General features: G+C 36.1%; 1 long non-coding RNA gene across 5 annotated transcripts in view; it reads left to right on the top strand.

Annotated features, from left to right (window-relative positions):
* CAV2-DT (CAV2 divergent transcript) overlaps positions 1–15930 on the top strand; it is an 83411-nt gene that overhangs the window by 17093 nt on the left and 50388 nt on the right. The window lies entirely within an intron of this gene.

Genomic DNA, 15930 nt, shown 5'->3' with positions numbered 1-15930 from the left:
AGGAAAGCCTTCACCACGAACCCGACCATGCTGGTGCTCTGATCTCGAACTTCTCAGCCTCTAGGACTGTAAGAAAATAGGTGTCTGTTGTTTAAGTCATCTAGTCTCTGATATTTTGTTGTTGCAGTCCAAGTTAAGAAAAGGGATCTAGAGGTTCCAGTGCTATCCTCTCTTCTTGTCTGAGAGCCAGGACCCTGGGGGAAATAACGGGCAAAAAAGCACTTTGAAGACAGATATAGTGGGAATTGATAAACGACTTGATAGAAACAGAAATGAACTGTTTTATTTTATTCTCTGAGGACTCTGCTCATCACCCAATAGTACCATTTTCTTTCTCAGAATGGATTCTTTCCCCTATCTATCTAATCATTAGAGATGTAGCTAAGAAATTACATGTATGCATATGTATAATATGTATATGTATATGTATGAATGCATTATCTGAATATTAATAATTTTATTGAATTTCAACTTAAACTGGTAGGTTTTATTTTAAAGTATTATAAAAGTTCCTATATTCATATTAATTCAAAATCTTATGCTGTATTATCAAAACTATATCACTCAAAACTATATTTAACTTGTTTGATACTATTAATGTAATACTGTCAGATTAAACCTTACCACTATTTATTCTCACATATGTACACTTATAAATAGATAATTTAAAAAGTAACAACAAGCATGGAAATATAATTCCCATAGATATCATTGAAATAGGGTCAATAATAATATAATGAACTTATTTATTCTTGAATAAATATATGTTGTTATAATTTTTTTCTTTAGAAAATGGATTTAATAGAAAAGGAAGAAACAGTGTTGAGAAGGCCCTCCAATTATGATTTTCTGAGTATTCTCTCTCCATTGGAGAGAGAAACCAAAAGTATATTTGTGAGGATGTATACTATAGACCTCTTACCCTGTAGGGAGCTGTGAATAATAGTAGCACTAAGGCAAAACATAGTTGAGAAGCAGGACCTTCAAATGTTTGGACAGCTGGTGGAGGAGTTAGTCTACTAAAAGCGGAGTATTTGCTGAAATTTTCATTTATAAGAAGAAAGTGTATATATTGAGGGAAGCAGTGTTCTGGTCTTCTTTCAGACTAATAAGAAAGCAGGTTCAAAACTTGGAAGTAAGTGAGAACCTTAAGTGAACATCTCGGAATCATAAAAGTGAAGCAGTTGTTTACTTGGACAGCAGATTACAGGAAGGAGAAACTAAGTGTGGTCAACTGACTAGAAACAGCAAGACACGATAGATCACAATGGAAATGAAAAACAGGAGAAAACTAAATAAACCAATGTTTATTGCACATCAAATTACCATACTAGGCACACGTGTCCATATTAAATGGAAGAATACGAACATAACCTAAGACAAATGAAGCAAGAGTTAGGAAGACTAGAGACTAAAATAAAATGAAGCTTGAGAAAAGGACTGGGAACACAATTTAAAAACTAGCAAAGGGTAAGTATTTAAAGGTGAATTTGGTGCAAGGTGATCTGCCTGCTAGACTGTGGCATGTTAATGAATGCTAGAGAGCAGGCTGAACTGCCAGGATCCTGTTTTACGTCTGTAAACTACAAAAAAAAAAAAAAAAGCCCCCAGAAATAATACCACACATCTACAACCATATGATCTTTGACAAACCTGACAAAAACAAGAAATGGGGAAAGGATTCCCTATTTAATAAACGGTGCTGGGAAAACTGGCTAGCCATATGCAGAAAGCTGAAACTGGATCCCTTCCGTACACCTTATACAAAAATTTATTCAAGATAGATTAAAGTCTTAAATGTTAGACCTAAAACCATAAAAACTCTAGAAGAAAACCTAGGCAATACCATTCAGGACATAGGCATGCACAAGGACTTCATGTCTAAAACACCAAAAGCAATGGCAACAAAAGCCAAAATTGACAAATGGGATCTAATTAAACTAAAGAGCTTCTGCACAGCAAAAGAAACTACCATCAGAGTGAACAGGCAACCTACAAAATGGGAGAAAATTTTTGCAAACTACTCATCTGACAAAGCGCTAATATCCAGAATCTACAAAGAACTCAAACAAATTTACAAGAAAAAAACAACTCCATCAAAAAGTGGGCGAAGGATATGAACCGACACTTCTCAAAAGAAGACATTTAGGCAGCCAACAGACACATGAAAAAATGCTCATCATCACTGGCCATCAGAGAAATGCAAATCAAAACCACAATGAAATACCATCTCATACCAGTTAGAATGGCGATCATTAAAAAGTCAGGAAACAACAGATGCTGGAGAGGATGTGGAGAAATAGGAACACTTTTACACTGTTGGTGGGACTGTAAACTAGTTCAACCATTGTGGAAGTCAGTGTGGCGATTCCTCAAGGATCTAGAACTAGAAATACCATTTGACCCAGCCATCCCATTACTGGGTATATACCCAAAGGATTATAAATCATGCTGCTATAAAGACACATGCACACATATGTTTATTGCAGCACTATTCACAATAGCAAAGACTTGGAACCAACCCAAATGTCCATCAATGATAGACTGGATTAAGAAAATGTGGCACATATATACCATGAAATACTATGCAGCCATAAAAAAGGATGAGTTCATGTCCTTTGTAGGGACATGGATGAAGCTGGAAACCATCATTCTCAGCAAACTATGGCAAGGACAAACCCAAACACCGCATGTTCTCACTCATAGGTGGGAATTGAACAATGAGAACACTTGGACCCAGGAAGGGGAACATCACACACTGGGGCCTGTTGTGGGGTGGTGGGAGTGGGGAGGGATAGCGTTAGGAGATATACCTAATGTAAATGACGAGTTAATGGGTGCAGCACACCAATATGACATATGTATACATATGTAACAAACCTGCACGTTGTGCACATGTACCCTAGAATGTAAAGTATTAAAAAAAATAGTTTAGAGGTTGTTGAAGCCTTTGATAAATGAAGAGAAAGTATGGTTGGGAGAACAGGAGTTTGAAAATTTTTTTACTATATTTTTAAGCCATAATTACATGTAGTAAAATGCACAGATTTCAAGGATAGAGCTTGATGGATCCTGACAAATGTCTACAACTGGGTAATCATCACTCTAATCAAGATAAAGAACACTGCAAAAAAGATAAAAGTTCCTTTTCCTTTGGAGCTTCAGTTCTGTGTGGAGGTCTCATGACTAGAGTATTTGAGCTGGGAATCAAACCAGCTCTTCCTACAGCAATGTGGGTAAATCTTCAGAACATTATGTTAAGCAGAGAAGCCAGACAAAAAGAGTATATGCTGTAAGATTCCGTTTATATGTAGATCAAGAATGAATCAGCCATCTGAATCAATGGTGATAGAACTCAGAACTGTCACTTCCTCAGCAGAGGAGAGTAGATGGCAATGGACTAGAATAGAACCTGACACATAGTAAGTGCTCACTTTTTCAACTATAAAATGAAAATGAAAGTAATAATCTTTCTCAACTATAAAACGAAAATAAAAGTAATAATCTATATACTATATAAACTATATACTAATCTATATATCCCCCTATAGAAGGGGGATAGGGGAACAGTGAATTATAAGGAAATAGGGTAATCTGGAAGTGTGAGTTAAGAAGGAGCCAGTTTTCTGGGAGTTGAAATAAATTAAATAGGAAGTGGCTGGAAGAGACTCACATATGCTTTATGGTGAGTGAAATTAATTGAACCATGAGATGAGGAATGTACTTAATTAGATAGAATTTGAACCTTTAGGGTTTTTTCAATGTAACAAAATGAATGTGCACTTAAAATGCTTGGCAGGATGTGCTGTCCTACAATCTGGAGGTCATCAAAGAGAATTATAAGGGGGAAAAATTACAAATCTATTCCAGTTGTATGAGAAAAGCCTTAAGTTGAAGCTTGGTGAAGGAAAGTCTTGAAAAGTTTAAGGGAACTATTTGTCATTTCCTTCTTTTTTTGTATGTTTTTAAAAAGTTTTACTAGCATTCACATTGACTTAGCTATATTTTCTGAAGATTATTCTATATCTCATATATTTTGTTGGCATGTAAGTTTATTCCCCGCTCCACAAAGGGAGGGTATCTTGAAATGATTTCCAAGTGCAAATTTGGTAATGGACCTTTTATCATTACATTTATGCAACTTAGGGTTGTGATAAATGACTTTATAAGGCAAGTTCATCTCATCATGCCCTGGAACAAAGGATTTCCTAATTATGCTCTTGTTTTCCTAGTTCTTTAGTGATCTTAGAGTAATTGTATTGATGACTTTTTTTTTTTGCCAAAACATGATTCTTATCAATTAAATTATTTTGTTTTCTTAGCATGATTGTACTAAGCTTACTCACATTTAAGAGGAAATATATTGTTATAAATTTTCATTTTCTTGATGTACTTAAATTTTAAACAATGACTTTAATAAAGTCACTTATTTGAATAAATGGCTTTAGCTTTTTGGAGCTTATATTTACCAAATCATGGCTAACATTAATAAGAGAGGTATTATTGACAAAATTCTTGTGGCTGGGTGTGGTGGTGCATGCCTGTAGTCCCATCTACTTGGGCAGCTGAGGTGGGAGGATCGCTTGAGGCCAGAAGTTTGAGTCAAGCCTGTACAACATAGTGAGACCTCATCTCTAAGTAAAACAAAAGATGATTATGAATTGTAAATATTCTGTAAGCTGTGTAAATGCTTTGCAAAATAGATGTTAGATGCTCTTCTGCATATTTTACACAGCATAGTAGAGTTTGATATTTATTTACTTTAATTGTAGGCATTGTAGAATTTATTACATAGTTCCCCAGGTTATTTTCTGTAGTATATTTTCTTGAGCATATTTTTCACAATTTTCTTTGTCTTCTAACTTGTGCATGCTATGACTCATTATACTCTTTTATATTAAAATGACACCTTAGTGAGCATCTAAATTGCTTACTTTTCTTTTTTTTGAGATGGAGTCTTACTCTGTCACTCTGGCTGCAGTGTAGTAGTGTGATCTCAGGTCACTGCAACCTCTGCCTCCTGGGTTCCAGCAATTCTTCCACCTCAACCTCCCAAAGTGCTGGGATTACAGGCGTGAGTCACTGCGCCCAGCCTAAATTGCTTACTTTAAGTGTCTTAAAATGGTAATTATTTTAAGATACTTCAGAATCCTTTGGATTTTGAAAATACTAAAGGAATTTAAAAGAGTAAAATGTATACATTATAAACTATAAATTATGTAGGTACCATTTTGATGGCTTCTGAAATTTCAGTGAGTTTTTAATAGCCTATTAAAATGTATTTTTCACTGTCTGGATTGTGATGCAGATATTCCTGGAATGTAAAACATTCCATAGCCTCCCTTTCACCCCCAGTCAAAACATAGACATGTACACTTGCACATGAACACACACACACACACACACACACACACACACACACACAGTCAGTCTATGTCCTGTTGGTATGCATGCAGCATCTGTTTTGCCACCAAGCTCTGAGTTTGGTTGAAGGCAGGGATCGTAGAAAATGGGCCAACCAGGAAAATTGAAGGGATGGCATGGAATATATTCCCAGCCTAGCTCTTTGGACTGGAATTGGACCTTTGGGGTTAGAACAGAAAAGCAAGAAGTTGGAAAACCTGTTTGCATGAAAGATTTTGTAATATTATGGACATACTGGAGATACTTTGAGACCCATTCCTCCTTGACTCTTCATGGGTCCAGTTCTGCTTTGGAATCCCAAAGTGTAATGGTTTTGAGATCTTCAGGATTCAGCATGCATGGCACAGCTTTTGGGTTGGTGTCACCGTCAGTGGAGCAGGCGTTAGGTTCTTCAGTAAGGTTCAATGAAGGAGAGGATGTTGGATGCCACTACGTGACACAGCTGAATGTCAGATTGGCCAAATGGAAACATTGGTGGAATCCATTTGGGAGTATTAGAAACAATCAGAGAATGCTTTAAACAGCTTAGCATTCTTAATGAAGCCGTCACAATTTGAATATGTGTATACATATATACACACACTGGTGAAACAAAGTGACAATTTGGCTGTACTGTGATGATAATAAATTTCTGTGTGCATATGTAATCTAAAATTACAAACTTTTTGGCTAAATTAAATTATTATAAAATGGCTTTCAAAAAAATGGCTATATTTGTTGTCTCTGATATATGGTACTTTTGGGATTAGTGTGGTCAGAGGTGATTGTCTACAACCAGTTATAACATAACAGTAAATGTCTTTGTTAAAATATTGAAGTTGTAATTACAAGACATTGCTTCTGGTAGCAATTTCTTTTTCTTTAAATTTCAATAGGTTTCTGGGGAACAGGTGGTGTTTGGTTACATGAATAAGTTCTTTAGTGGTGATTTCTGAGATTTTGATGCACCCCTCACCTGAGCAGTGTACACTCTACTCAATGTGTAGTCTTTTATCCCTCACCCCCTCACACACTTTCCCCCAATTCCCCAAAGTCCATTGTATCATTCTTTTTATTATTATTATTATTATTTTATTATTATACTTTAAGTTCTAGGGTACATGTGCACAATGTGCAGGTTTGTTACATATGTATTCATGTGTCATATTGGTGTGCTGCACCCATTAACTCGTCATTTACATTAGGTATACCTCCTAACGCTCTCCCTCCCCCCTCCCACCACCCCACGACAGGCCCCGGTGTGTGATGTTCCCCTTCCTGAGTCCAAGTGTTCTCATTGTTCAATTCCCACCTATGAGTGAGAACATGCGGTGTTTGGGTTTTTATCCTTGCAATAGTTTGCTGAGAATGATGGTTTCCAGCTTCATCCATGTCCCTAACAAAGGACAAGAACTCATCCTTTTTTATGGCTGCATAGTATTCCACGGTATATATGTGCCACATTTTCTTAATCCAGTCTATCATTGATGGACATTTGGGTTGGTTCCAAGTCTTTGCTATTGTGAATAGTGCTGTAATAAACATATGTGTGCATGTGTCTTTATAGCAGCATGATTTATAATCCTTTGGGTATATACCCAGTAATGGGATGGCTGGGTCAAATGGTATTTCTAGTTCTAGATCCTTGAGGAATCGCCACACTGTCTTCCACAATGGTTGAACTAGTTTACAGTCCCACCAACAGTGTCTTATTCCTTTGTGTCCTCATAGCTTAGCTCCCATTTATGAGTGAGAACATGTTCAGTTTTCCATTCCTGAGTTACTTCACTTAGAATAATAGTCTCCAATTTTATCCAGGTTGCAGCAAATGCCTTATTTTGTTCCTTTTTGTGGCTGAGTAGTATTCCATATTTTTACACACATACATACCACATTTTCTTTATCCTCTCGCTGGTTGATGGGCGTTTTGGCTGGTTCCACATTTTTGCAATCGCAAATTGTCCTGCTGTAAACATGCACGTGCAGGTATCTTTTTCGTATAATGACTTCTTTTCCTCTGGGTAGATACGCAATAGTGGGATTGCTGGATCAAATGGTAGATCTACTTTTAGTTCTTTAAGGAATCTCCACACTATTTTCCATAGTGGTTGTACTAGTTTACATTCCCACCAACAGTGTAAAGGTGTTCCCTTTCTACCACTGCCACGCCAACATCTCTTATTTTTTGATTTTTTGATTATGGCCATTCTTGCAGGAGTGAGGTGGTATCGCATTGTAATTTTGATTTGCATTTCCCTGATAATTAGTGATGTCGAGAAATTTTTCATGTTTGTTGGCCATTTGTATAACTTCTTTTGAGAACTGCCTATTTGTGTCCTTAGTCCACTTTTTGATGGGAAGAAATCTTGCTGATTTGTTTGCGTTCCTTGTAGATTCTGGATATTAATCTTTTGTTGGATGTATACATTGTCAAGATTTTCTCCCACTCTGTGGGTTGTCTGTTTACTCTGCTGATTATTTCTTTTGCTGTGCAAGAGCCTTTTACTTTACTTAAGTCCCATCGATTTATCTTTGTTTTTGTTACATTTGCTTTTGGGTTCTTGGTCATGAAGTCTTTCCCTAAGCTAATGTCTAGAAGGTTTTTCCAATGTTATATTTTAGAATCTTTATGGTTTCAGGTCTTAGATTTAAGTCTTTGATCTTTTATGAGTTGATTTTTTAAAATAGGGTGAGAGATGAGGATCCAATTTCATTCTTCTACATGTGAAGAATTTAATTAAATTAATTTTAAATGGCTATATTTGTTGTCTATGATATATGGTACTTTTGAGCTTAGTGCGGTCAGAGGTGATTGTCTACAACCAGTTATAACATAACAGTAAATGTCTTTGTTAAAATATTGAAGTTGTAATTACAATACATTGCTTTGTTAAAATATTGAAGTTGTAATGACAAGACGTTGCTTCAGGTAGCATTTTTTTAATTAAATTTCAATAGATTTTTGGGGAACATGTGGTATTTGGTTACATGAATAAGTTCTTTAGTGGCGATTTCTGCACCCCCTCACTCAAGCAGTGTACACTTGTCAATTATCCTAGCATCATTTGTTGAATAGGGTGTTCTTTCTCCATTTTATGTTTTTGTTTGCTTTGTCAAAAATCAGTTGACTGTAAGTATTTGGCTTTATTTCTGGGTTCTCTATTCTGTTCCATTGGTCTATATGCCTATTTTTATACCAGTACCATGCTGTTTTGGTGACTATGGCTTCCTCGTAGTCGGGTAATGTGATGCCTTTGGATTTGTTCATTTTGCTTAGGCTTTCTTTGGCCATGTGGGTTCTTTTTTTGGTGTCATATGAATTTTAGAATTGTGTTTTCTAATTCTGTGAAAAATAATGGTGGTATTTTGACGGGAATTGCATTGAATTTGTAGATTGCTTTTGGCAGTGTGATCATTTTCACAGTATTGATTCTGCCCATCCATGAGCATGGGATGTGTTTCCATTTGTTTCATCTATGATTTCTTTCAGCAGTGTTTTGTAGTTTTCATTGTAGAGATCTTTAACCTCCTTGGTTAGGTATATTCCTAAGTATTTTATTTTATTTTTTTGCAGTTATTGTGAAAGGGGTTGAGTTCTTGATTTGATTCTTAGCTTGGTCGCTGTTGGTGTATAGCAGAGCTACTGATTTGTGTATGTTAATTTTGTATCCTGAAACTTTGCTGAATTTATTTACCAGTTCTAGGAGCTTTTTGGATGAGTCTTTCCAGTTTTCTAGGTATATGATCATGTCATCAGCAAACAGCAACAGTTTGACTTCCTTATTACCAATTTGAATGCCCATGTGTAGCAATTTCTAAGAGAAGTTGCCATGTAAACTCCACCTAGTATGAGTCCATACTTACTATGCAATCCCACCCTGGAAAAAATCCTTTATCAAAGTTTGGTTAAAAACAAAGTATCCAAGACCAGCTCTAACTTTCCATAGTGAACAATTAAACAACTAAACAAAATAATAAAACAACTATCTTTAGTGGTTGGAGAAAAACAGCACAGTGCTGTGATCTTTCTGAGAATAGTAACAACTACGAATCCTATGATTGTCTTGGCTTTCTTCTTAGAGTCAATTTCTAACTGTTGGCACAGGGAGGAAAATCCAAACAGATCTTGTAATCATTGATGAGTTGTGAAAATGGAGACCAGAGTTGGAGAATCTGAGGCAGCTAGCAAAGTTTTGGAAAAGGGGGCACTCAATAAGAGAACTCCATAAACCTGCATGGGCTCCTCTCTGATCTTTGTTGAGTACCAAGCTGCCCATGTGTAGAATTAAGCTCCACGAAGATGGGCTAAGGATGGCCAAGGAGTTGCAAACTGAAAAATTCCCAGAGCTCACAAAGGACAGGAAGACATTTGAGCTCTGGCCTTCCAGAATGAAGTCCTTGATGATGATCTGGGAAATTTGGTGGAGACTCCTGGAGTCCTGCCTTACAAGCAGGAGTGAACCAGCACTGGAGTGAAGCTACTATTAGACGTTCTCCAGCAAAGCGAATAAACAGGCCTGAAAGTCATGAAATTGATATTCAAGTTGTTTTTGTAAAGGAAGAAAACAATATCTAGATGCTTAAGAGTGTTACATTTACCATATCTAGCATCCAATAAAAGTTAGTAAACATGCCAAGAATAAGGACAATATACCCATAACTGGATACAGATCAGTAAATAGGAAAAAGTACCAAAATGACAAATGTTGTTAGAATTAACAGATAAAGATGTTAAAATAGCCAGTATAATTATGTTTATTATTAAAAACATGAGCATAGTGAGGGAAGTAACATAAATTGTTAAAAAAATGAAATAGAACTTATAGGAATAAAAAATACAATATATAAAAAAATTCTGGATAGGAGTAATAGCAGAATGAATAGCGCAGCAGAAAAGATCAGCATACTTGAATATATTGTAATAGAACCTATTGAAAACAAAAAGAGATAAAAGAAAGAAAACTAACAGAGCCTTGGTGACCTCTGAGGACAGTATTGTACAGACCTATTTATATAGGTATAATTAGATCGTAGGGGCACTAAAAAAATATGTGAAGAAATGATGGCTCCAAATTTTCCGAAACTAATGAAAACTTAAATCCGCAGATCCCAAAAGCTTAAATGGACCCCAAACAGGATAGATGCACACAATGCTTACATAAACACCTCAAGGTACATCATAATCAAATATCTGAAAACTACCAGAAAATGATATTTTTAAAAAGCAACTAAAGAAAAAAGACATTACATTACAAAGAAAAAAACATAAAACTTACAGTAGATTTCTTATCTGTAATTATGTGAGCAGAGGACAATGCAAGGACATCTATAAAGTGCTGAAATACATTTTTTAAAAAGGCTATCAATCTAAAAGTCTATAAACAGCAAAACTCCCCCCCAGAAGAAAACCAAATTAAAGACACTCTCAGAAAAAAATAGAAAACATTTGTTTTCAGCAGACCTAAGTCAGAAGAAATGTTAAAGGAAGTTCTTCATGTAGAGAGGAAATCATATCAGTTAGAAATTTGCATGAACACAATGAAATGAAGAGCACTGGCAACACTAAATATATGCTTAAATATGGGGATATTTGGCCTTAATTTTTAGTATCTTTAAAAAGCATTTGATTGCTTAAAGTAAAAATAGTGATGTGCTTTGGTAGTTTATAAGACATGTAGAAGTAAAATATAAATGACAGCAACGACGCAAAGGAGAGGAAGGAGAAGCAAAATACAAATGGCCAATAAGCACAAGAAAAGATGCTCAACATCATTAATCATCAGAGAAATACAAATTAAAACCATTATGAAATACAACTTCAAACCTTTTAGGTTACCTAAATTTATACGACCAACCATACTAAGTGTTGGCCAGGATGTAGAACCATTGGAACTATCATACATTGATTTTGGCAGGATACATGTACAATCACTTTGGAAAACAGTTTGACAGTTTATTATAAGGTTGACATACCCTTTACATATGATTTAGTAATTCTCCTCCTAGATTTTTATCCAAGAGAAATGAAAAGTTAACAGGCTCTGATGCATGAATGTTCATAGCAACCTTATTCACAATTGCCAGAAATGGAAATAACCCAGGTGTTCATCAAATGGTGGTGGATAAACAAATAATGGTACATTTATAACATAGAGTGTTACTCAACAATAAAACAGAACAATGTACTGGTAAATGCAACACCATAGATGAATCTCTAAAGTATTACGCTGAGTAAAAGTAACCAGATTCTGAACAGTACATACTGTATGATTACATTTATAAGAAACTAATCTAAAGTGACAGAGTGAAGGTCAATGTTTGCCTGGGAACAGGCTGGAAAGGGGGACAGCTCACTGATTTAGAAAGGACACAAAGAGCTTCAGAGGTGATGGGCGTATAGTATATCTTGACTGTAGTGGTGGTTACATAGTATATACATTTGCAAAAACTCATTGAAATGTACAGTTAACATGAGTGTAGTTTACATGTGAAAATTACACTTCAATAAAGTTGATTAAAATATGTCATCAATAAAACAAAAGGGAACATAATGTACTGCTACTTGGCTGATGAATGGAAACATTTTGAAGAGTTCGATGGTAGGCTTAGCCAGGGGTGCTTTAGGTGCTTGCTTACTGCAAGAAACAGGATACAAAAATATGTAATTATGGCAGGAAGGTAATTGTGTTCATTCACTAAGTTGGATCCTTAATCTCATATATCCTATTACCACTTGTTTCTGGTTTGAAACAAAAGCATCCTCCAGTTAGCTGGGCATCATCATTCTTGCTCATCTTAGAAAACACTTCAGTCTTTTGTCATCTGTTTATTGCACTCACCTGAATTAAAACAATCATTCTGTGAAGTAAAAATAACATGTGAACATAAACATAGCTATAGTGGAATGATTAAGTAATAGAGCAGTAAATACCTGGAAGTTACTGTGCCCAATATCTGAGGCCAAGGAAGTGGAATGGCTGCCCAAAGTCACAAAACTAGTTAGAGGCAAAGCCTTTATTTTTACACTGATTTTTTTTTCTTTTAATTGGTAATGCATTTAAAAATGTAATTCCTCCTCCTTGTTTCTTGTACTCTGTCCTTCTCTGTCCTGTCCCTATGTCTCCCTAGATGGGCTTCTGCCTTTCTTATGCTCATCTTTCCGGTTCACATGTCTCTGCCTTGACTTTCATCACCCCCTCATCTGAAATGTCCTTTGGATTCTCAGCAAATGCAGCTGGTGAAGAAAAGTTGTCATGTTGTACACCAATGTGTTTTTATTTCTTATATGTCTTACTTGAGGTCTTACAACAACTTACATTAATGTACATAATGAAATATACTCACCTAAATCATGTTTAACTCAACCTTTGTGACGACCAGTCTCTTTCAACACTTTCTGAGAATCTGTCTGCTTTAAGAAGGTTTTTCTAATCCATAGTTAATGTCTCCTTATACCCTTAGTAGCTATTTTGTAATTTATTATTTTTTTGAATTAGGTTTTCATAGGCACTATGTCACAAACCATATATAAAATAATGCCTTTAGCGAATTTATTATTTAATGTCTAAGGGCACTCCTCTTGTAAGACAGAATTATTTGTTTTGATCTGAGATGTATGAAGGATGATTATAGGCATTGCTCTATGACTGTAAAAAAAATGCACTGAGGCTGGGCATGGTAGCTCGACGCCTGTAATCTCAGCACTTTGGAAGGCTGAGGTGGGCGGATGACTTGAAGCCAGGAGTTTGAGACCAGTCTGGCCAACACAATGAAACCCCGTCCCTACTAAAAATAGAAAAAATTAGCTGGACATGGTCACATGCCTATAATCTCAGTTACTTGGGAGGCTAAGCCATGAGAATCACTTGAATCTGGGAGGCAGAGGTTGCAGTGAGCCGAGATCAGGCCACTGCATTCCAGCCTGGGTGACAGAGTGAGATGCTTTCTCAAAATAAAATACAATTTTAAAAAAGAAAAATGCATTGAATTTCTATAGCCATGTTTGAATTACAAAATTGATTTGCTTATCAAGGACTAATCTTCAGTCAATAATTTTATGAAAAAGAATTTTCCAGTAAAACACAAAATCTCATTTAACAAGTTACTTTTATAATACATTAGAAGCCAGACCCTAATTAGAATACATTTTTCTCCTTTAGATGTCCTTGGTATGCAAATTAAATTAGAATTCCTAGGACTTATATAGACGTGTCTCATCTCCTATGAGACAGCACGTCTTTTATTTCTTTTGTATTATCTTACTTAGGAAGGAAGGAAGGAAGGAAGCAAGGAAGGAAGGAAGGAAGGAAATGACAGCTCTATACCCCAACATTTTCTGTGTAGCATTTTTATAAGTAGAAAAAAAATCCAAATTGAGAAGCATGGGTCAGCAAAAGATCTGGATAAAGTACTCATGTTAATTTAACCAAAAATGCTCTTTACTTTTACTCTCAAAATGTGTTGTGCATTGCTTTAATTCAGAAAATTCAGAAAGAAACAACAGAAAGGGCATGTAAAGAAGTTTAGTAAGTGCCTTTTCTAGCTACTGTCTATACTCTCTCGATACTCTTCTGAACACTGGTAGATGAGATCCAAGATTCTTACACTAGTGAATGCAGTGCTACATATAGCCTTGTTCAAATTACTATTCATCATGAGTTTTTCCTCTATGTAACTGGCAACTTAATCTTACCTGTAGTATGGGATACATTATAGTTGGATTGAATATTGGTCAAATCCCTCACTTTCCCCCAGGAATTCATTTCCTCTCCTATATCTCAAGTGAATTGCACTCCTGGCCACACTGTTGCCATGCTGGAAACCTTTCTTCTCCTTTTCCTCACTCCTCAGACAGGTGGCAAGATGGTGATGGTGAAAGCAGGTCTGCAAACCTTCCCAGCCACCTCTCTCCCACCCAACCATAATCTACCTTGGGAGGAGGGCTCTCTTTTTGTCTTACTCACCTACCATGCTTTTGTTGTGATACTGTTAACAGCATAACAGATGAACACGCTGGATCCGGAAGCCTGAAAGTCTAAATTTCTTTTCATGACAAAAATAAAAAAAAGATGCTACAAGTGAGGAGCAAAATTAGCAAGGGCCTGTGAGGTTAGAGAGAAATAGAAGGAAAGATTTAAGCTGCTGCTGTGAGGAGCAGACCTAGGAAAAAGGAAGACATATGGGCTGGGCGCGATGGCTTATGCCTGTAATCCCAGCACTTCAGGAGGCTGAGGCGGGAGGATTGCTTGATGCCAGGAGTTCAAGGCCAGCTGGGCAACTTAGCAAGATCTCTTCTCTACAAAATAATTATTTTTAAAAAAGGGACGTACGTTATGTAAAAAAGATACATGCACATGCATGTCTATAGCAGCACAATTCGCAATTGCAAAGATATAGAACGAACCTAAGCGCCCATCAACCAATGAGTGGGTAAAGAAAATGTGGGTATATACACCGTGGAATACTACTCAGCCATAAAAAGGAATGAAATAATGTCTTTTGCAGCAACTTGGATGGAACTAGAGGCCATTATTCTAAGTGAAGTAACTCAGGAATGGAAAACCAAATATCGTATGTTCTCACTTATAAGTGGGAGCTAATCTGTGAGGACATAAAGGCATAAGAATGCTATAATGGACTTTGGGGACTTGGGGCGAAGGGTGGGAGGGAGGTGAGGAAAAAAAGACTACATATTGAGTACAGTGTACACTGCTTGGGTGACGGGTGCACCAAAATTTCAGAAATCACCACAAAATAACTTATTCATGTAACCGAAAACTACCTGTACCCCCAAAATGATTGAAACAAAAACATGAAAAAGGGACATGTACTCAAGGACAGTTTTAGGAAAATTTCATATGTAATATGTTATGCAAACACCACTTCAGTGACCCACAGAAATCCTCAGTAAGGCCTAATTTATGTTTTTTTATATGTCTTCCATTTAAAAAAGTATTTTCTTATCAATGTTTTTCTCCTTTTCTGAATTTTAACTAATAGACTTCTTTTTATATCAGTTTTAGGTTTGTAGAAAAATGAGTTGAAAGTAAAGAGATTTCCTATATTACCCTCTCATCTCAGTTTTCCCTGTTCCTGAGACATTGTATTAGTTGTACATTTGTTTCAGTTGATAAGCCAATATTAATATATTATCACTAAAATCCATAGTTTACATTAGATTTTACTTATTGTGGCTTTTGACAGATGCATAAGGGCACATATCTACCATTACAGTATCATACAGAATAATTTCATTGCCCTAATAATCTCTATGCTCTGCCTATTCATCCTTCCCTTCCCTTAAACTCCTGGCAACCCCTGATCTTTTTCCTGTCTCCATAGTTTTGCCTTTTCCAAAATACCATGTTAAACATCTGAGAAACATGAACTGGAAAACAAATTAAGTGAAAACAGTTATCTGTCTCTAAGCCAAAGATGACAGATGGATCCTGGAGGAAGTGAAGTGCAATGATTCTTATCCTTCCAATCTAGGTTTGCCCTACAACCAAATGAATATTTTTTTTTGCA

This window comes from Homo sapiens, chromosome 7 (genome assembly GCF_000001405.40).
Source record: "Homo sapiens chromosome 7, GRCh38.p14 Primary Assembly".
In the NCBI taxonomy this organism is placed as follows: Eukaryota; Metazoa; Chordata; class Mammalia; order Primates; family Hominidae; genus Homo; species Homo sapiens.
Note: the sequence above shows the minus strand (reverse complement) of the source record. Positions and strands in the feature narration are given on the sequence as shown.